This window comes from Homo sapiens, chromosome 9 (assembly GCF_000001405.40).
Source record: "Homo sapiens chromosome 9, GRCh38.p14 Primary Assembly".
NCBI lineage: Eukaryota > Metazoa > Chordata > Mammalia > Primates > Hominidae > Homo > Homo sapiens.
In genome coordinates, this window is record NC_000009.12 from 122890725 (window position 1) to 122913592 (window position 22868).

At 39.3% G+C, this 22868-nt stretch overlaps 2 protein-coding genes across 7 annotated transcripts in view, besides 3 other annotated features; both read right to left on the reverse strand.

The window, feature by feature from the left end:
• The window catches only part of RC3H2 (ring finger and CCCH-type domains 2), a 60804-nt gene extending 46169 nt beyond the window's left edge, over positions 1-14635 (reverse strand). For all 6 annotated transcript variants that reach the window (NM_001354479.2, NM_001354482.2, NM_001354478.2 and 3 more), the window contains exons 1-3: positions 14386-14635; positions 6555-6852; positions 2185-2302 (exon numbers count right to left, since the gene is read on the reverse strand). In NM_001354479.2, coding sequence (NP_001341408.1) covers positions 2185-2302; positions 6555-6785 — 349 coding nt within the window. In that variant the 5' untranslated portion in view covers positions 6786-6852; positions 14386-14635. The remainder of the gene's footprint in view (positions 1-2184; positions 2303-6554; positions 6853-14385) is intronic.
• Positions 14090-14739: a silencer, noted in NCBI's record as "silent region_20243". NCBI's record gives its function as "represses an Ori minimal core promoter by ATAC-STARR-seq in GM12878 lymphoblastoid cells {active_cell/tissue: GM12878}" and the evidence as "EXISTENCE:reporter gene assay evidence [ECO:0000049][PMID:35858748]".
• ZBTB6 (zinc finger and BTB domain containing 6) lies at positions 17332-22599 on the reverse strand. The gene is made up of 2 exons (NM_006626.6): positions 22527-22599; positions 17332-21357 (listed from the first exon to the last, which is right to left on the reverse strand). The coding sequence occupies exon 2, from the start codon at positions 21346-21348 to the stop codon at positions 20074-20076; it is 1275 nt and encodes a 424-aa protein (NP_006617.1). The 5' UTR covers positions 21349-21357; positions 22527-22599; the 3' UTR covers positions 17332-20073.
• Positions 22314-22423: an enhancer, noted in NCBI's record as "active region_28929". NCBI's record gives its function as "activates an Ori minimal core promoter by ATAC-STARR-seq in GM12878 lymphoblastoid cells {active_cell/tissue: GM12878}" and the evidence as "EXISTENCE:reporter gene assay evidence [ECO:0000049][PMID:35858748]".
• Positions 22434-22663: an enhancer, noted in NCBI's record as "active region_28930". NCBI's record gives its function as "activates an Ori minimal core promoter by ATAC-STARR-seq in GM12878 lymphoblastoid cells {active_cell/tissue: GM12878}" and the evidence as "EXISTENCE:reporter gene assay evidence [ECO:0000049][PMID:35858748]".

A 22868-nucleotide genomic window follows, 5' to 3' on the forward strand; every position in this document is an offset into this window, starting at 1 on the left:
AATTTTTAGCTACTTTAGCAGTTTAACCTAAAAGTAAAAATGACTCTATTTTTTAATTGTATATAAGACATTTAGAATACTGCTTAATGGTAAGCTCTTAGATTCTACTCCTATGTACCTATGTAAGAATATTGCTCCAGCAATTCTCCCCTCTCCCACATTATCAAATTTTCCCTCTTTACTTGAACATTTCCATCATTACAGAATAAGAACAAGTATGCTGTTATTTCATCCATCTAAAATACAAATATTTTCATTGATCCTGCTTCCCCTACCAAATCTGCCCCATTTTTTTTTTTTTTTTTTTTTTTTGGAGACAGAGTCTCACTCTGTCGCCCAGGCTGGAGTGCAGTGGCACAATCTCAGCTCACTGCAACCTCTGCCTCCCAGATTCAAGCAATTCTCCTGCCTCAGCCTCCCGAGTAGCTGGGATTACAGGTGAGTGTCACCACACCTGGCTAATTTTTTTTGTATTTTTAGTAGAGATGGGGTTTTACCATGTTGGCCAGGGTGGTCTCAAATTCCTGACCCCAAATGATCTGCCCGCCTCGGCCTCTCAAAGTGCTGGAATTACAGGCGTGAGCCTCTGTGCCCAGCCTCTGTTCCATTTCTTTCTTCTCTTATGCAGCAAATTTTCTAGAGTTGTCTATACTCGCTATTTCCTAGTCTAGTGCCTTAACTACTTAGCCAATTGTAGATCACTACAATTGATCTGTTCACTACTTCCAATTCCTTGTTTCACAATCTCTGAAACCCACCCCAATCAAATTTTTCCCACATCACTTGACCAAACTTGCTAAATTGGTTAAATTAGTTAATTCTTAGTTCCTTATTTTATCTGACCTTCCAACAGCATTCAACACACATGATTACTCATTACTCCTTTAAAACACATTATTTGGCTTACTAATGTATCCCAGCACTAGAAGAATGCCTGACACTCTCAGTCCACGCTCTTTAGATAGCTGTTCAATAAATGAATGAATGAATACAGGGGATAAGTTTCTCAGTAAAATCACTATGGCCACATACACAACAGTGCAAAGCATTCAACAGGTACAAAATACTCAATATATTCAATCATTCAACAATTGTTTATTATACCTATGATGTGCTAAGTATGCAGTGATAAAATTTCAGTTTTGTCATAGACTTAAAATAATTTATTACACTTGTACATCTATCTCCCCCAGTAAACTGTGGGCTCCATGATGGCAGTGACCTTAATCACTGTTAAGTGCTCAATAAAATTTAATGAATGACTGAATGAATACATGCATACATGAAGCTGTCTTAATAGGACTTATCAAAACTAATATTCTGTTACAGCACTATTACACAGTGAATTCAAATAATGTACAAATTTCAAGATGCAGTGACTCTGGTAAATTTTTTTTTTTTTTTTGAGACAAGGTCTCACTCCCATTGCCCAGGTTGAGTGCAGTGGCACGATCACAGCTCACTGCAGCCTCAACTTCCTGGGCTCATGTGATTCTCCTACACCGGTCTCCTCAGTAGCTGGGACTACAGGCGTGTGTCACCATGCCCAGCTAATTTTTTGTATTTTTAGTAGAGATGGGCTTTCGCCTTGTTGCCCAGGCTGGTCTCAAACTCCTGGGCTCAAGAAATCTACCCACCTTAGCCTTATAAAGTGCTCAGATTACAGGCATGAAGCCACCACACCCAGCTTGAATTCTTTTTTTTTTGAGACAGTCTTGCTCTGTCGCCCCAGGCTGGAGTGCAGTGGCACCATCTCGGCTCACTGCAAGCTCTGCCTCCCGGGTTCACGCCATTCTCCTGCCTCAGCCTCCGGAATAGCTGGAACTACAGGTGCCTGCCAAGACGCCCGGCTAATTTTTTGTATTTTTAGTAGAGACGGGGTTTCACCGTGTTAGCCAGGATAGTCTCGATCTTCTGATCTTGTGATCCGCCCGCGCTGGCCTCCCAAAGTGCTGGGATTACAGGGGTGAGCCACCGCGCCCGGCTCTAGCTTGAATTCTTAATAACAATATTGGTTATTTTCAGAAAATAGGACAACATAATTTTCTCAGTCTATACATTTTTCAAGGCATTTCTCAAGCAAACTCCTTTTCCATAACTTAATAGGGTATCCACATCAAGTCATTCAAAGTAAATGTACTACCAAGTCCTACTTATCAGTAAAAATGCATTTTATGAACTTACCTTTACCTCCACTTAGTGGTTTTAAGTAGAGTGCCAAATCCTCAACGCATTTCTTTGCAACCTCATAGTGTTTATTCTCACCTAGATTACTTAACTTAATTGACTGATGATCTGGTACCTTAAAAAAAAAAAAAAAGGAATATTGCAGAAATACATTCATCCAGCTCATGCAACTATTATTTATGTACTTGATAATAATCTTGGTGAGTATAAAATTATCATGCATAGATAATACATGAAAGCCATTTAAGTAAAATTAAAGTCAAACACCTAGCCAAACTGCTTTCCACAAACCAAAAATAAGGCCGGGCATGGTGGCTCATGCCCGTAATCCCAGCACTTTGGGAGGCCAAGCCAGCAGATTAACTTAAGTTAGGAGTTTGAGACCAGCCTGGCCAACATGGTGAAACTCCATCTCTACTAAAAACTACAAAAATTAGCCAGGTGTGGTGGTGGATGCCTGTGATTCTAGCTACTCAGGAGGCTGAGGCAGGAGAATCTCTTGAACCCGGGAGGCTGAGGTTGCAGTGAGCTGAGATCGCACCAGTGCACTCCAGTCTGGGTGACAGAGTGAGACTCCATCTCAAAATAACAACAATAACAGCAACAGCAAAAAATAACATACTTAACAGCAGGAGCTGTGTGGATTAATGAAGGAAGAAAAGAAGCAGAAAGTTAACAGTATTGTATCGATGCTAATTTCTTGGTGTTGGATGTTAACATTAGGTTAAGCTGTGGAAAGTTATACAAGTTCTCTGAATAGTATTTTTTGCAACTTTTTTGTAAGTCTGAAAGAATTTCAAAATTAAAGAGTGGAGAAAAAAAGACACAGTTGTTTTTTTTTCCCCAAAGCACTTATCACCTTTTTACTATATTATTTACTTAAGATAAGCATTATTAAGACAGAGTGTTCTCATTCAAAGGTCAAAACTTGGGTAAAAATTGCAGCTCTGCTACTTCTATGAATGACCTTGAGTAAATTACTTAACTGCTCCAAGTCATAATTTCCATATCTGCAAAATGAAGATGAAAATCTGTATTTTGTAGTGCCGCTATAAAAGTTCAATACAGGCCAGGTGCGGTGGCTCACACTTGGAATCCCGCACTTTGGGAGGCCGAGGCAGGCGGATCACGAGGTCAGGAGATCGAGACCATCCTGGCTAACACGGTGAAACCCTGTATCTACTAAAAATACAAAAAATTAGCCGGGCGTGGTGGCGGGCACCTGTAGTCCCAGTTACTCCAGAGGCTGAGGCAGGAGAATGCCGTGAACCTGGGAGGCAGAGCTTGCAGTGAGCCGAGATCGCGCCACTGCACTCCAGCCTGGGCGACAGAGCAAGACTCCGTCTCAAAAAAAAAAAAAGTTCAATGCAATTCAACAAATAATTATATTTATGGAGTGCTTACCATGCACTGGACACAGTTATAGGTACCAGGGATATATCAATGAGCAAAACAGACAAAATGTTTTGCCTTTGTGGAGCTCACATTCTAGTGGAGAGGAGAAGAGGTAGCCAATCAATAAATTAAAAACATAATAAATTTGTAGTGTTCCAAGAGGTGAAATTATAGAGCAAAGATAAGGGGGACTGGAAATACTAGCGAGGGGTTACAAATTTAATTAGGGTGGTCAGGATTGGCTCCCTTGAGAACTGTGAGATATGAATGAATAAAGAACATGAAGAGAGAGGCTGGGCACGGTTGCTCACGCCTATAATCCCAGCACTTTGGGAGGCCAAGGTGGGCAGATCACTTGAGGTCAGGAGTTCGAGACCAGCCTGGCCAATATGGCGAGACCCCATCTCTACTAAAAATACAAAAATTATCTGGGCATGGTGGCACGCACCTGCAACCCCAGCTACTTGGGAGGCTGAGGCAGGAGAATCACTTGAACCTGGGAGGTGGAGGTTGCAGTGAGCCGAGATTGCGCCACTGCACTCCAGTCTGGGTGACAGTGAGAGATTCCATCTCAACAACAACAACAAAAAAGAAAATGGAGACAGACTGAACGTTCTAGGCAAAGGTAACAGTAACTACAAAAGCCATCACTTGGCAATATACTTGGTATATCTGAGAACTGGCTAAGAAGCCAGTGTAGCTTAAGCAGAATAAGAACAGTAGTAAAAGAGATAACAGAATTCACACTGTAAAGACCTGTAGGCAATTTAAGAACCAACTGAGATAACATTTACAAATGATATTAACACAATACCTGTTGACCTATAGCAGATGCTAAATAAATGGTAGCTAGGTTTTTTTTTTTTTTTTGAGACAGGGTCTCACTCCCATCACCCAGGCTGGAGTGCAGTGGCACGATCTTGGCTCTCTGCAGCCTCGACCTCCTGGGCTCAAGTGAACCTCCCATCTCACCATCTCAGCCTCCCAAGTAGGTGGGACTACAGTCACACACCACCATGCCTGACTAATTTTTTTATTTTTTGTAGAGATGGGGTTTCGCCATGTTGTCCAGGCTAGTCTCGAACTCCTGGCCTCAAGCAGCCTGCCCACTTCAGCCTCCCAAAGTGCTGAGATTACAGGTGTAAGCCACTGTGTCTGGTGGTAGCTAGTATTCTTACAAAAAGTCTATGATATTTTATCAAATCTAAAATGTTGTTTGCAAGAGGCAACATTTTATACTCCATTAACAAAAATATACTGGCAATTAAATTAAGATACACTATCAATTGTAGATGCACCTTGATTTCATAGTGTGTAACTTGATTATAAACACTGAAAAGAGATTTTGTGCTTTACAAGGAGGACTTCAAATATCAAGATACTAAAGGAATGAATGAAGTATTTTGGTTTATTGGATTTTCTATTAAATCAGAAAAATAATTCCTTTCTGGCTTTAATATGTAGCACATGATGTACAGAATTTCATCTCTTCCTAACTTGTAAAATGGGGATAATAACTACCTGAAAACCTATGGTAAGAATTAGTAATAATAAATGCTGAATACTTTCTGTCAAACCTAATGCAAAGTAGACCCTCATTAAATATGTTATTTCAAATCTAGAGTCTTGCTTTGATTCAATAAAATAATTACAAACATGAATTCTATAGCACATGTTCTTTTTTTTTTCCCCCCTAATGTTCAACTAAAGCATCACATAGCTCAGAGGTGTCTTTTGGCTTCCGTGGGCCATACTGGAAGAATTGTCTTGGGCCACACATAAGATACACTAACACTAACAATAGCTGATGAGTTAAAAAAAAAAAAAAAAAACTTTACGAATTTGTGTTGGGCTGCATTCAAAGCTGTCCTGGGCTGCATGTGGCCTGAAAGCCAGACAAGCTTGATACAACACATGTTCAGAAGAAATCATGGAGAATTTATTACTGACACATTGGTTTTTGGTTTTCCATATATACATCCCTACATAGACCTTATTGTTTCATTTACACTATTATATAAAAAGTCAAGTGAAGTAAAAAAAAGTAACAACAACAACAAAAAAACCTGTTTCTGGTCAAAGCTTTGATTACATTTCTTTTCATATCACCTGGTGAATAAATATATATGCTTATATAAAAATATTTCTTATCCACCAATATCACTTATATACATAAATTTTAGCCACAGAATTGAATATGTAACTATAATGTAATCTAAGGTTTTGTATAAGGATATGACATTATCTAAAGAAAATCTTTCGCAGAATACAATCATGAAAATCAGGTACATTGAAATTTATTTTTTACACCTTAATGATCACTAAACATACTATATACCTATTACTGAATAAAGTTCAATAACTATTTCATGTAACAAATTATTAGGTTGCTGCAAAAGTAATTGCAGTTTTTGCCATTAAAGCCACATAAGATGGCTGGGTGCAGTGGCTCACACCTGTAGTCCTAGCACCCTGGGAGGCTGAGGTGGGCGGATCACCTGACGTCAGGAGCTCCAGACCAGCCTGGCCAACATAGTGAAACCCCGTCTCTACTAAAAATACAAAAAAAATTAGCTGGGTATGGTGATGTGGGCCTATAGTCCCAGCTACTTGGGAGGCTGAAGCAGGAGAATCGCTTGAACCCAGGAGGTGGAGGTTGCAGTGAGCCCAGATCACGCCACTGCACACCAGCCTGGGTGACAGAGTGAGACTCTGTCTAAAAAAAAAAAAAAAAAAAAAAAAAAGGCCACATAAGATACACTAACACTAACGATAGCTGATGAGCTAAAAACATAAACATAAATCACAAAAAAAATCTCACAATGTTTTAAGGAAGTTTATGAATTTGTGTTGGGCCGCATTCAAAGATGTCCTGGGCCACATGTAGCCTGCAGGCTGGACAAGCCGTTAAAATAATGGCAAAAATAGTGATTATTTTTGCACCAACCTATAGTAAAATCTTGAATGCTTACCTGGGCTCCAACTAACTGGAGAAGTGCGAAGTTGACAGGAAGTACATCAATATCTGTGTTGATGGCAGTCTGGTCAAAAGGACAAGCTTTTCGATGAAGTTTATTCAAGCAGGTCTTGCAAACAGTGTGTGAACAACCTAAACTGATGGGTTTGTGCACATTCTCATCAAATTCATTATAGCAGATTGGACAGGACAGAAATTCTGTCCATTGAGCTGCCTGCACAGGCATTGTGGAAGCTGGATGCTCGGGTTAGCAGTCTAGCAGATCATTATTTTGCTGTGTAGTGTTTTGTAAGCTAGAAATGGACAAAAGTATGAATTAACCACATATTCATCATTCACCTTTGAAGAGTTAATTGCTTAAGTCAACTATTACAGCTTCAGACCTAAAATACTTCTAAATAATTTTATAACCTTTGGATGTCTTTTTTAAAAAACCTATTTGCTGAATTAATTACATTTCTGAAATTCTGCCTGGAAACAATACCTTAATAGTGTTCCTTTCAACTAAACTGTATTTATATTGGTTGCTCACATAATAAACATCAAAGCTTTTATGTATTTTTCTCAACGACCACATCAAACAAGCAAATTAACTTTCCATATTCCATTTTTAGGAACACAAATTACTTTGGACTGCTGGGCGGTTTTTTTGTTTTGTTGTTTAAAAAAGTGTTTCCCTTGGATAACCAGTACCCCAAAACATAATAAAGTATGGCCAGGAGTTAATGAACTTTGGAAACTACTGATCCAAACAATATTGTAGAGACTCAAGTGTGAAGAAAACAGCTTTGCCACCTGAAAGAGGAAATCTCTGACAAGACTTGGCTAGGAAGCAAAATGAGGCACTGAAAATCAACATATAAGAGAAGACTGTGATGACTGAGAGATGATTAAGAGAGCTGTTTGTTCATAAATGAAAGACTAATGCTGACCACAACATACAGTGCCAAAGTAAAACAAAAAAATTGTCTTAAATATCTTGTATTGTTCAATACAATACTTCTGATAAAACTACATTATTTAGCGATTGATATATATAACCAAAAACTGTAAAGTCCAATGAGGAAGACACAGAAGAATAAAACATTATTCTAAAAAGTTATATATGCATGATTAAAAACTGAAAAGGCACATAGAAAAAAACAGTGAGAGAATTTTTCTTATTTCTGAGATCAAAATGTTCCTGCTGGGCGTGGTGGCTCACACCTATAATCCCAGCACTTTGAGAGGCCGAGGTGGGAGGATCACCTGAGGTCAGGAGCTTGAGAACAGCCTGACCAACATGGATAAACCCTGTCTCTACTAAAAATACAAAATTAGCCAGACGTGGTGGCACATGCCTGTAATTCCAGCTACTAGGGAGGCTGAGGCAGGAGAATCACTTGAATGTGGAAGGCGGAGATTGCAGTGAGCCGAGATCACGTCATCGCACTCCAGCCTGGACAAAAAGAGCGAAACTTAATCTCAAAAAAAAAAAAAAAAGTTCCATAAGTTTAGTAAAGTAAAAGATTTAGTAGCAAAACGATACTAATTTGAACACACTAAACTTCCCAGAATTTCTTTATCTTCCAATTCAAGACTTAACATAAGTCTGACAAAAGCTCTCTGGTGAACAAGAAATCTAGGTATTTAGGGCAATCAAACAACTAATACTTTATTTCACAGGAATGTTTACCAACCCAAATATATTAGTTCCACAGAAATTAGATGTTTAAAAATGTAGTCACATTCAAAGAGAAAAAATATATAACAGAAAGTATTCTCAATTATGCCAACATACAAAAAAATTCTATTAGCCTTTATTGTGTTTTTTTTTTTTTTTTTTTTTTTTTTTTCAGAGACAGAGTCTCCCTCTGTCGCCCAGACTGGAGTGCAATGGTGTGATCTTGGCTCACTGCAACCTCTGCCTCCCAGGTTCAAGTGATTCTCCCGCCTTGGCCTCCCAAGTAACTGGGACGGCACCCACCATCATGCCTGGCTAATTTTTGTAGAGACAGGGTTTCTCCATGTTGGCCAGGCTGGTCTTGAACTCCTGACCTCAGGTGATCTGCCCACCTCAGCCTCCCAAAGTGCTGGGATTGCAGGCGTGAGCCACCGCGCCCGGCCCTGCGCTTTTATATTCACAAAAACAGAGATTAAAAAAAATCTTGGTAAAAATGAATTACAGGGCTTGCTATGTAAAAAGCACCCCTATACAAACTTTCTCAAACAGCTCTAATGCAAATTATCTAATATCGTTATCTTTAAAGTAACCAAATCTTCCAAGTTATAATTTTACAACTTTCATCCTCAAATTACCACATCTATTAATGCCATCAATCTAAAAACCAATTAGTTTCCTTCCAACTTTAGAGATAAGCACTGAGCAGATGAATATATCACTCCCTAAAACTACTGAACATTTTTAACATCCAGTTTTCTGGTTTGCAGAGTTATACAAGAAAAGGCCTTTGAGGAAGAATGAATTTCATCTTAAATCTACTGAAAGCCCTAATATAGTTAATAACTTGAACTGATTAAATATTTATGAAAACAGGACACTGCGTGTAGTTTTTCATAATGGCCACCTGTTTGGAAATGTTAATTCTGTGGGTTAGGGTATCACAGGCCACCTGGTAGTACAAAATAAGAGCAAATACCTTTTCCTTAGTTTTCCAAAGCCTTTCTGAAATGCTTTATATTAAAGCACATAAGTGTGGGGCTTGGGGTGGGGGAGTTTCAACCATACAGAAAAATGCTATCTTTCATATTGTCACCTACTACACAGTTTTAAACTGTTTCAAACTATACCAGAGCACACTTAATAGTTTTATGTTACAATAGTCCTTAGTATAGTTTTATGTTACAATAGTCCTTAGTGTGTTTCAGCATAGAAACATCAGAGGTTTTAACATAATTAATACTGAGAAGTTTAATTTCTACCACAAATTGAATTAATACCTTTAAGATATAAAGGTAAAACACTGCCAAAATTTTGGCAATAACTCTACCAAATTTTCTTCTCTGTGTCAGAGTCTAGCTTTCTGACAGTAAATTATCAACTAAACTTCCCTTATACGATCAGATGTAAGAAACGCTTTGATTTTCCAAATATGTTTTTCTTCAGTAATATTATCAGTAAATCCTAGATTCCTTAATTAAGATAAATCAATATAAAATTTTACCTAAAACATAGAAGAAACTTCATTCCTTCAAAACAGGCACTTTGTAAACATTTACCTAGAAAATATTTTTGTAACTACCAAAAATGGTAAATATCCTATAGTTTTTATAATTTAAAGAGCATATAAATGAACCATGGAGCACTAAGACTACATATTAATTTGCAAAACTTCTAGACCTATACTAATACATTTTATGCAACTTATTTGAGTCTATGTAAGTCTAAATTGCTATGAATATTTATAGTTACTACTGAAGTATTCTTCTCAAATAATCAAAACATTTCAAACTGAGATAAAATGGACTAAAAGGCCTACAACTCAAGATACCTAAAGTGATTCCTTAAGAAAAACATTCTAATTATTTGTATTAACTAATTTTAGTTACCAGTTACAAAAATTGAAAAAGGATAATAAGATAAAGCATAGGAGTGAGAAATGCTAAATTAAAGGTGGGACCATAAACAATTTTTCGCTCAAATAATTTTCCAGACTGTAAGTTCCTTGCTATGAGTGCTGACACATAAAACAGGAAGCACAATAGGCATCTCTTATATGATTCAAATTACAAACTGCTTTATTAAGAGCCAGCTAAATACTTTCATTTTCTCTTATTAGTCCACCATATTATGCAGCCAGTTCAGGTCTACGGCATCTGATTTTAAAATGCCAGAATAAAGTTTATGCTTCTTTAACTGTCATATATGTATACATCATTTTACAATTCTCTTAATAAAAATGTAAACCTTAGGGCTTAGTTCTTCTAATTAAAACCATTGTTTTCATTCTTGTTAACCTATGTGAGGAATATAAGCTACTGAAATGGACTGTCACAGTACTTCCCCGTTTAGAAAACTTAAAAATAATTAGTTTTGTTCTTAAAAAATGATATTTAAAGCATAAGCACAATTTGGATCTCTAGCTAAAAGACAAGTAAAAACCAAAACAGCAATGGAAACAACCTGTAAGCTAGAAACTCAGTACTGGAGAAAAAGGAATTGAATTGCAATTTAAAAGACTGCTATAATATGTGATTTTGCCGTTAACGTGTGAAGTATATATGACTCAAATTTTACTTCTTAAATACACTATGTGGTTGAACTGTTTTAAAATAAATATTAGATATAACTTCCAATGCATTCTTTTTTTTTTTTTTTTTTTTGAGATGGAGGAGTCTCACTCTGTTGCCTAGGCTGGAGTGCGGTGGTGCGATTTCGGCTCACTGCAACCTCCGCCTCCCGGTTTCATACGATTCTCCTGCCTCAGCCTCCTGAGTAGCTGGGATTACAAGTGCGCACCACCATGCCCGGTTAATTTTTGTATTTTTAGTAGAGACAGGGTTTCACCTGTGGGTCAGGCTGATCTCAAACTCCTGACCTCGTGATCTGCCCACCTTGGCCTCCCAAAGTCCTGGGATTACAGGCATGAGCCTCGGCGCCCAGTCTCAATGCATTCTAATAGGGCAATAATGAGATAACTACTTCTTTTTTTTTTTTTTTTTTGAGACGGAGTTTCGCTCTTGTTGCCCAGGCTGTAGTGCAATGGCGCGATCTCGGCTCACTGCAACCTCCGTCTCCCGGGTTCAAGCGATTCTCCTGCCTCAGCCTCCGGAGTAGCTGGGATTACAGGCATGCGCCACCAGGCCCAGCTAATTTTTTGTAATTTTAGTAGAGATGGGGTTTATCCATGTTGGTCAGGCTGGTCTCGAACTCCTGACCTCAGGTGATCCACCCGCCTCAGCCTTCCAAAGTGCTGGGATTACAGGCGTGAGCCACCGCGCCCAGCCAACTTTCTATTTTAACAAGTATAACTAATATTAGTGATGACGAGAAAAATACTTTCTTTGAGATAGAACTTACTTCTGCCTATCAAATCATAGCCAATGGATAACTTCATCCTTCATATTACCAAAGTCCTTAGCTCTTTAATTATTCTGATTGTAACAGGATAATCTATCTGGAAGTTTTGGGTTTTTATACATCTACTTTTATTCCACTAACATATTTCTTGGAAGAGTAATGCTGATCTACAACAGTAATATCCGATAGAAATATGTGAGCCATTATAATCCGAGTAATTTTTAATTTTCTGGTAGTCACATTAAAAAAGGTTAAAAGAGGCTAGGCGTGGTGGCTCACGCCTGTAATCCCAGCACTTTGGGAGGCGGAGGCGGGAGGTGGGTGGATCACTTGAGGTCATGAGTTCCAGACCAGCCTGGTCAACATGGCAAAACCCCATCTCTACTAAAAATACAAAAATTAGCCTGGTGTAGTGGTGCCTTCCTGTAATCCCAACTACTCAGGAGTCTGAGGCATGAGAATTGCTTGAACCTGGAAGCAGAGGTTGCAGTGAACCCGAATGGTGCCACTGCACTCCAGCATGGGTGATAGAGAGAGACTGTCTCAAAAAAAAAAAAAAAAAAGTTAAAATAGCTAAAATTATTTTTAGTAATATATTTTATTTATCCCAGTTTATACAAAATATCATTTCAACATGTTGTCAATATTAAAATTACTGAGATATTAAAAAAAATCTTGGTACTAAGTCTTTGAAATCTGGTATTTTACACCTAAAGCACATCTCAATTCACAGAAGCCACATTTCAAATCTTCAACTGTCACATGTGGCCACTGGCTAGTACTGGACAGTGCAACTCTAGAATATTTAAATTATAAAGTAATACTTAGAACTTTTATCAGGAAATTGAGGTAAAACTCACACTTACACTTAAAGCTTTAGTAAAATTAGAGACGCTGATCATAACATTCATGAGACTGGATGCAAAACATGAACTTATTTTTAATTTTCAGCTAGCTTTATTTTACCCATGCTTCCTTTTTCCATCACTAAAAAGTGAAACTTCAACACGGTACAAACTAAACAGTAAGTAGTTACTAAAACCTTGTTATGAAGTTTTTTTTAGCGTTCTTAGCTATTGCAAACAATGTAGAAGTTCAACTTTTGAATATAAAATCCTGAGTGTAAAGAAGAATGCTTTGCCAAAATGCAAATTTTTGGTTTTTTCAAAGTGGAAGACAGCAAATTACAAAAGCAGAGTATGATTTAACAAAAATATATGAACAAAGGACGTAAGTCTTCTTACATGTCAGGTTACCACAACAGAAATAACAGATCAGGGGTAACTCAAAGGATCCACTAATGAACACGAGTGTAATTAAATCCTCATAGAACAAGTGCCTGTTTGAATTATAACATCTGCTTTTTCTAAACGTAACTAGAATATGTTTCACATTCTGTCCTCCTAGCAATTTTCCAAACTCTAAAATTTTGAAAACATTAATCTCCAAATCAACGAAAATGTCAATATTGAAAAGCAGTCTTTAACAGGATGTAACGACCTCTATTTCTTCAAAAATTGAACGTGGAAGTAAACAACGTAAGAAAGGCATGTGAAGCTACAACAGTGGTATAGCTTTTTAGACAGCTAAAAGGTTTTTTAAAAAGGAGAATCTATTAATATTCTTAATATCGTAAAAAGCTTTTAACTAAGTTTGTATGTTTAACCATTAAAAGGCTGCACTGGCTAACATTTGTTTCTTTGCTTTTGAGTGACTTTATACCACTGTGGTATAGCAACGTTAGCTTTCTCAGGTTAACCAAAAGTTCCTACTGGAACTTAAAAGTTTGGCCAATACAAAATTGGAAAAAAGATTACTTAAAGCACTTTATTTGGGATACAAACTCACCCACCCACAATGGGTAGGGGGAGAGTAGAAATGAAAAAAAGGAAGGCCGTGGGTAAGGGGAGAGGAGGAATTAAAAAGGGAACCCAAGGGTTATGAAAATATAAATAAATCACTGGATTAGATTTACTTTATGCCAGTGATTACTTGAGTCAATTTTGGTGTGAAGGATTTATCTGCCGGTATCTTAAACGGCTGCCTTGGGATTTGAAGGATGGAAATGACAGCTACCCTCATCTTCTCCCATCCTGAAAGCTAAGGATAGAAAAAAGTACAGCTGCTTCTCTGGGAAACAAAGATGCTTTCTACCATTCTTCTAAGATGGTGGAAGAGTCTCCTCAAGAGGCTACACCAAAAAGGAAAAATGAGAGAGGGAAAGAAGAAAGCCATAGCAGAATTTCCTGGCTGTGTTTCATGCCATTGCTCCTAGCCACAACCCCTGTGCAACCACTCAGGTCCGGCCGTCCCCATCCTGGGAGGTTAAGCCCTCCCAGGGCATTGTTTGGCCGGGGTTCCTATTTACCACTCAGATCGCCTCCACCACCCTCTACGCTAGGGTCTCGGGAAGCCCCAGGGCAGAAAGCTGAAAAGCTAGGAGAAGACTTGGTTTCGAGGACCTCTTCCAAACCCCCTTACTAACTGGTGTAGAAAAGGGAGAGTGAAGCCGGGCCTTTGCTTGGGTGGGTTCGTTAGGGGTCAGAGGCGTCCGCTCGGCCAGTGTCGAAGGAAGGTGGCCATTTGAGCCGGTCGCTCCGCATCGAAAAAGCCCTACCAGAGAGAGGGGCCTCCGCAGGGCCCGGGTTCCATCCGAGTGTCAGGTGCGGCCCTCAGTTCCCAACCCTCGAGGCACCAGGGGCGACAGCGCACAGGCCCCAGGGCTGAGACTGGTCTCCCGCCCGACCGCCGGGGACCAGGCACCCGGGCTGGGGCCCGAGCCGCATCGTGCCCGCCCCCGCCCTACCTGAGGGGGCCCGGGCGGGGTCGCTAAGGGCCGCTCCCGGGAGCCCCGCGACGGCGCGGCTTGGCGACGGAGGCGCCTCGTCTCGCCGGGGCAGAGCTCGGCGGAGGTTTCACGACCTCAAACTCCATCGGGAGCTACAGGGACAGCCCCGTTGGCGGCGGCGAAGGCCGCGACGGGGCCTCCTCCTCCTCCCTCCACCTCCGCCTCCTCCTCCTCCTCCTCCTCACCACGGAGGCGGACCTGGAGGGATCCCGATCTAGCTCTCGCGAGAAGTTACTCCCCACTTAACGCGAGATTACGCAAGCCCGGGAGTCGGGAGTTGGAAGGAAAGCGTAGTAGCCCCAGCCACCCAAACTGCGAATCAACTTCCCTCTGCCTCAGCGGATCCACCCCGATCACGTGACAAGGGAGCCCCGGAGCACTGTGGGAGGTACTGTGAGAAGGACTAGGCAAGCCGAAGGGATTGATGGGAAATTCCCTGCACATTCATCTGCGCCTTGAGCCGGCTTCCTAGACGCTGGTTTGAGCGAGTGTCTTAACTCCCTTCGTGAAAAGCGTGGAATCCATTGAGCAGAATCTGATACATCTGTGTCACATTCTTCTTCACACTCCTGTGATGACATGCCGACAGGATCCCTCAATCCCTTTACAAAGATGTCAAGTAATCTCCCCATTACAAAAACAAGAAGAAAACATGTATTTGGCAGGCACTTCCACATCTCACTTCTTTATTAAAGAGAAAACTCTGTTTCTAGACAAAGAGTCCAAAGTGGGGGGGGGAGGGGGGGAAGAAAGCTCTGAGCTCCTCAAAAGCTGGCAAAAATAAAAAATTTAAGCACAAATTCTGGCATCATATCTCAAATATTTGTTGAAGCTTTTTACACAGCGAACTAAGGTAAGAATTATTCTTACAGTTTATAATTTATAGATGAAACAGACTTGGAATAGGGATATCAGAATTAACATTTATAAACTACTTAGTATGTGTCAGGCAGGTCCTGTGTTAGGTGATATTTAATTTTAAATATTTTAGTTTTATTTACATTTCATTTAATTAGCAAAGTGATCCTAGAAGACAGATACAATGTACCCCTTGTTACTGATGAGAAACTAAAGAATGTAGGCTAGAAAATGACCATGACGCCGGGCGCGGTGGCTGATGCCTGTAATACCAGCACTTTGGGAGGCCGAAGCGGGTGGACCGCCAGGTCAGAAGTTAGAGACCAGTCTGGCCAACATAGTGAAACCCTGGCTCTACTAAAAATACAAAAATTAGCCGGGTGTGGTGGCGGGCACCTGTAATCCCAGCTACTCGGGGGGCTGAGGCAGGAGAATCACTTGAACCCGGGAGACGGAGGTTGCAGTGAGCCGAGACCGCGCCATTGCACTACAGCCAGGCGGGGGGGCAGTGCCAGACTCCGTCTCAACAAAAAAAAGAAGAAAAAAAATGACCATGACTTGTAATTAAACTCAAGGCACTTTCCAATGTGAAATCAGATGCCCAACAACAAAAATATCGAAGTAAACCTACGATAAATTAGAATATGGAAAGGTTGCTTCTACAGTTTTAACAAAATATATAGTTATTACCTATTATATTTGTCTGAATGACAGGCAAAAATCAGTGTTTTTGAAAAAAGATTCATTGGCCACATCGAAGACGTTTCTTCCACACATTATCTTTTTCGTTCTCTTCTCTTTATGAAACATATGCCAGGCCTAGAGAACTGTTAACAACCAATAATTGTTTCAGTAATTTCAACTGGACAGTGATAGGTAATTTACATGTACATATTTGTTTTCCACCCTACTGTGTATATATATATATACACACATATATACATATATGCACATATATACATATATACATACATATAAATATATATACACATATATAGATACATATAAGTATATATACACATATAAACATACACATTATATATACATATATGTACATATTTTTTTTTTTGAGACGGAGTCTCACTCTGTCACACAGGCTGGAGTGCAATGGTGTGATCTCAGCTCACTGCAACCTCCACCTCCTGGGTTCAAGGAATTCTCCTGCCTTAGCCTCCCCAGTAGCTGGAATTACAGGCACCCGTCATCATGCCCGGCTAAATTTCTTTTTTGTATTTTTGTAGAGACGGGTTTTCACCATGTTGGCCAGGCTGGTCTTGAACTCCTGACCTCAGAAGACCCGCCTGCCTCGGCCTCCAAAAGTGCTGGGATTGCAGGCGTGAGCCACCAGTCCAGGCCAAATTTTTCTATTCTACTGGATATATTTACATTTCACTAGACAGAAGAATATATATTTCTGATAATCCGAGATTTTTCAAAGGTGTCCTGGTCACCATATTTATTTTTGAGATGGGGTCTTGCTCCCTCAGTTAGGCTGACTGCAGCGGTGCGATATTGGCTTACTGCAACCTCTGCCTCCCAGGTTCAACGGATTCTCCTGTCTCAGACTCCCGAGTAGCTGGGATTACAGGCAAGCGCTACCATGCCCGGCTAATTTTTGTATTTTTAGTGAAGGGTTTTCATCAGGTTGGCCAGGCTTGTCTCAAACTCCTGACCTCAAGTGATCTGCCAGCCTCGGCCTCCCTAAGTGTTAGGATTACAGGCCTGAGCCTCGGCGCCCGGCGCTGACCACCATATTTAAAATTGCAATTCCATCCCCCTTCTCTGGTACTCCCTATTCCTGATTTTTCTCCAAATTCCTTCTCAAAATTTGACATACATGGATTTTACTTACTTGTTTACTGTTTGTCTCCCTTCACTAAGATGTTTCACAAGAGCAGGAATTTTTGTCTGTATACCTAACTTATATTTCATTGTAAGGACTCAGGAAGTATTTGCTAGATGAATGATTAATGTATAGTCAGGAGAAATTGTATCCTTTAAATTGTATCCTTTAAAATTCAAAGATGAAGACAAAACACATTGTTCTCCATTCCCACCTCCAGTTTATTATTTCTTATGTAAACATGTAAGATAGTTACATCCCAGGAAAAAGGGCAAGTGTTTTTCTCTGACAACGAAGTAACAACTACCTTTTCAAGATCTTTTATATGTAAATGGAGTAAATGAAGAGGCTGAACTCAAACACTTTTCATTTTTCTGTCATATCAGAAACATAAACTAAATGTGAATATGTTAAATGAATAAATTCTATACTTTGTCATACCTGAACTTTAAAAAAAGATTCCATTTTCCTGAAAATTTTTAGACATATCATGCAAACAGACACTCTCCTAGGAATGTTTGGAGATCATTCCGTGCTACTGAACAGGAATAAATAATATAAATAATAACCATCACTTTCACAAAACACCCCTCCCCCAGCAAAAATCTCAAAGTGCTCACAAAAAATTTTACAACAATCTTACAAGGCACACATAAAACTTAAACATAGTTTCAACCAATTTTTTTTCAAATATCCAAGATAGTAGATACTAATTCTTAAAAAATCAGAGTACTATTCTTTTACCCTCTCCTCCCATCTCCATCCTTCCCCCTTCCCCCCACGCCATTTTATAATAGGAAGCAAAAATAAGAAAAGTACTTCAATCACTAGTAAACTATTTCTGAAAAGAAAATATTTTCACACCAACAAATGGCCAATCTTAGGTCAAATGGAAGCAATGAACTATGAATGAAAAATTAGCAATGAGCTATCACACTTTCCAGTGGAAAAAGATCCACTAATTAGAAAAATTATGTCTCCAATGGAGTACTTAAGTAACAAAGTTCATAAAGACACAAAACCGTCCTCTCTTGCTTTCCCCTCTTCTGTTCTCAGGAAGAATTAAATACAAAATCATGGAATTTTAGACCTGGAAATGATCTTTCAAATGACCAAGATCAAAGTTATTTTACATATAAAGTTAAAAAGTTCAAGGAGAAATTCAGCACAATGTCGCTAACTAGTAACATTGGGTTATGAAGTCGGTTTTTTCATCAAACGAGACCTGCATTCTTGAAAGTCTCAAGGAAAGTTAAAATTCAGTGGAGAATGTCTTTCCCACAAAATTGTCAAAAAAAGGTTAACACTTATAACAACGAACATGTGATTCATTCATCACACAATTTTTATAAATGGTACAAAGTATATTACATTTTAAAATACAGAAGGGCTTCAATAGAAATTAAATACAGTAGAAATTCTACATAAAGCTAAGTTAACTAGAGGAGGACTAGAACAGCTTCAAAGAAAGATGCATCTAGTCAGTCTTCTTTACGAAAAGCAGTTCCTGTGTTTTAGAGAATATTATTTGCCCTGCAGTATATTTTAATCTTTGTTAAAATAATTTATAAAAGTTTTGTGTTATATGTAGACGGAGATGTTAGAGAACTATGGCTCAGAACACCATCTCAAATATGACTCTCGCTAAAATAATCATACAGTCATAGTTTTCCTTTTGGCATATTTTTGGAAATATAAAACTCTAGGGATGGTTAAGATTTTTATCAACACATAGTGAATGGAAATTACATTAATGTAAATGAAAAAATACAACACTAATAGCTACACCTTTTTAAATTGCTCATCTAGTAACAGCTAGAATATATATTGCCAATTCAAAATTTAAAATGACATGGATGAACCTCAAAGTCATTATGCTGGGTGAAAAAGCATTTCAAGAGGGAACGTACTATAAGATTCTGTTTATATGACAGTCCAGAAAAGGCAAAATAATAGTGACGGAGAACTGTTGCCAGGATTAGAGCTAGAAGGAGCTGACTACAAAGGGACAGCATAAGAGAGCTATTGGGAGTGAAGGAACTGTTCTGTACCGACTGCAGTAGTGGTGCACAAATCTTTCTGTTAAAATTCACAGAACTATACACCAAGAAGAAATTTCAATTTTACTTCATGTTAAATAAAAAATAAAATAGAGAGGAACTTTTAAAACAGTAGAACAGATATCCCTGGTAAAGGTAGAATTTCTCATTTTTCACAGCTTCATGCCAATGGTATAATTTTACTGGCCACAAAATTATTAAATCCGATTGTATTAAATAAAATCAAGAAACTCGGGCCCAATGAACCATTTCTTAAGTATGTATACTAATAAGGCATGGAAATAAAAGTATTTTAAGGATTATTAACCCTGTATAAAAAAATTCTGCTATTCCCAAGTGAATCTGAATTGTTACTTTATACATTTTAAAATGAAAAGTATCTTGGTGTTTAGTTTGGAATCCAAGAACAGCTGGTAAAAAGTTAAAAAAAAATTTTTTTAGTGCCATCTGTTCTAAAGTGACTAGAAACAGGTAATAGTGTTTTTACCTTTATTTTCTCTTCTTGTTATCCTAATTCATTAAAGTTTTTATATGATTGGATTTTATACTTAAATCAATTACCTAGAGACTCCAAATCGGAATCTGCAAATACTGCTGGATCCTTTGTCACTAGAATCAAGAATATATAAGAGAGGAACACTATTTCTCTAGGGATACTACTGAGACTTATATGTAAGGTATGAGATGAGACAGAATCCCATCAGCTTTACTGTGCCTCCCATAACTTTGGAACTGTTAGAAGTTCAGAAAGAATGATTATGTGTAAGCCGACAAAATATAAGAAACAAAGATTGGGGGGATGAAATATTACAAATGCTGCATCTCTACAGAAAGACTTGCGTAATAGAATAATACAAACTTTATATAACAAGTCTGTGATTATAATTATAGTAGACTTTGCCTTTTGAGATCAGGCCTAGATAGTTTTTCACCACTGCTTCTGCCATGGACAGAGGTTAAGTGCTTTTTGAGAGCAGACTTGTGCTTGAAATCCATATCACAACAGTGGCATTTGTATGGCCGATCCCCACTGTGTATGTTCAAGTGGTCCTGAAGTGTGCTTTTGGCAGTAAATGTCTTCAAGCACACAGTACACTGAAAGGGCCGTATGCCCATGTGTCCTCGGATGTGTCGGTTGAGATTTTTCTTCTGTGTAAATGTTTTTCCGCACTGTAAGCATAAGAATAGTTTATGCATTTTAAGGTGGCGCAGATAGTTTTCAACATGAAGAAAGCCTCGAGGACACCTGGGGCACTGGTGCCTCAGTGAATAACCTTCCTCCAGATTCTGAATCTCACTCACTGTACCATAACTTCCTTCAGTATTCTCACAAAATAAGCCCTGATCTTGATTCCCAGGAACTTCAGCCACTCTGCTCTCAACTGTAGAATTGATCAATGAATGCTGTGTTTCAGAGAAATACATGCTTGCTTTTGAAGAGGTACAAGGCTGTGAAAACTGCCCATTTTCGACACCAGCTGTACTGATGGATTCTACATGAAGGATACAAATTTCATTGTCTTTAAAACCTATGTCTACTGTAGACAGCTCTGGTGACTTCATTTCCTTTCTCTCTGATGTCAGACTCTCTACTGTAGACTGCAAAGCATTGCTTTCCTCTTCTTTAACATGGAAATCTATGTTTACAGGACTATCTTCTGAAATTTCAATTATCTCACAGTCTTTATCAGAATTTTCATCTTCATTCTTAACATCAGGATCAGAAGACTGACACAGGTCAGTGTGTTGGTTGTTGTTTTTCATAGAAAGATCAATTTCCAGATACTTTGACAAAGCTTCTGTGCACTTTTCCACAATGTGAACCATCTGAAGGTAACTGGCAGCAGTCAAGTATTTCAAAAGCTCTTTCCTTTTAACTTCAAGTGCTCCAGTATAGCAAGACAGTAACAATTTTCTGCCAACTTCTGCACTCTGTAAGATGGTGATTCTGACATGTTTTGACTGTGTGAGTAAAAACTGATCTCTCATAAAAGTGGAGCAAGCAGCCAAAATCACCTTGTGCCCCTGGAACTCAGTGTCATTAATGTAAATTGATACATCACAAAATAAATTCTGCTGTCTCAAAAGATTCATTTTCTGCAAGACCACATCTCCTTGCTGTTCAAACTGGAAATGCAGAACATCAGACTCAGCAGCCATGATCACAATCTAAGCAAAATAAAACACAAACATTGATGTAATAAGGATAGGGAATGCTTTCCCATGCTGTAATGGTGAAAACAAACGAAAAACCCCAAACCTGAATTAGGAAGAAGAAGACTCAAAGTCTAATGTAGGTGTTATGAACCTTTATGCCACCATCTCAAAACGAGAACTTTATAATGCACTTCTCTATGATCTCATAGCACATTTTTCATAACTTTGTTACAACATTCATTACAATGAATTGTAGTGAACAGTTTCTAGCTTGTTTCTTTTGCTAAATGTTGTGTGCCTTGTGGTCAAGAACAATCTATCAATTTTGAATATCCAATATAAGCACTGTGACCACCAAAAAGTTGATTTAACATAATATATCCAATTAGCAACTTTAACGTAATCTCCAAACTTCCTACTCCCCACCACTACAACAGGTCCTCCTTCCGGTTCACCTGGACAACTGCAATGTCTTCCAACAGGTCTTCTTTATACCACACTCTTCTGTATGCCAGATTACCCGCCTGAGTGCCACCAGGATTAACAACCCTTATTTTATTTTATTTTTAATTTCCCTTTTCTGCTTTAAATCTTCTATCGTTCTTCTCTACCTCCGGGACAGTCCAGATTTCTTAGGAAAGAATACGAGACCCATCACGATTTGGCTCTAACCCATCTTTATGGCTTTATCACCTTCTATTCTCTTTTTCATACTCGAACCTCGTTCAATACTAAATTTTTCCATCATTACCCAGACAAAAAGACACGAATACACATTTCTTACATTCGCGTTTCCAGTTCCTTTTTTCAGCTAGTGATTAGGCTCCTTTAAGCCCAAATCAAGTAAAACTAATATGACTCCACCTCCCGTTTCAACCAGAGAGAGTCAGCTGCTCTCTGAGCACCGCGAGATGGTGCCTGATGCATCTGTGTTCCTGCACCGAGCTCAGGGGCCCACACAGAGCAGGAGGAGCTCAGGGAACATCTGCTGAACTGAAACCGGATGCCAGGTTCAGCACACAGGTATTCTGGAGGCAACCCTGCGAAGGGCCAAGGCCCTGTCGGCCCAGTGGTTGCAGCACAAGATTAGCCACTCCGGGGCCGAGCCCAGCTGTCCTCCTCCTCCTCCTCCTCTTCCTCAGGCACCCTCCACCTGAGGAATCTACTTTGCACTCACTCACCGACTCAGAAAACTAGAGTCAAGGATTCCGCGGCAGCGTCTGCCCAAGCCGGAAGATGGACTTAGCCTGGAAGAAAACACATCCGGTGCCAACCAGCTTTATTCTTTACTGGGGCCCTCTAGGCGCCCCGGAAGGACATTCTGAGACGGTCTTCCTTCCTCACTTCCCCCCTCTTGGAATGACAGAAAGGCTCCTGAATGCCGGCAAGCCCCATCTCTCTTGTCCCAGTTTCGGCACTCGAGCCGTTTTCCCCCACCATCCCTTTTTTTTTTTAAGACGGAGTTTCGCTCTTGTTGCCCAGGCTGGAGTGCAATGGCGCGATTTCGGCTCACTGCAACCTTC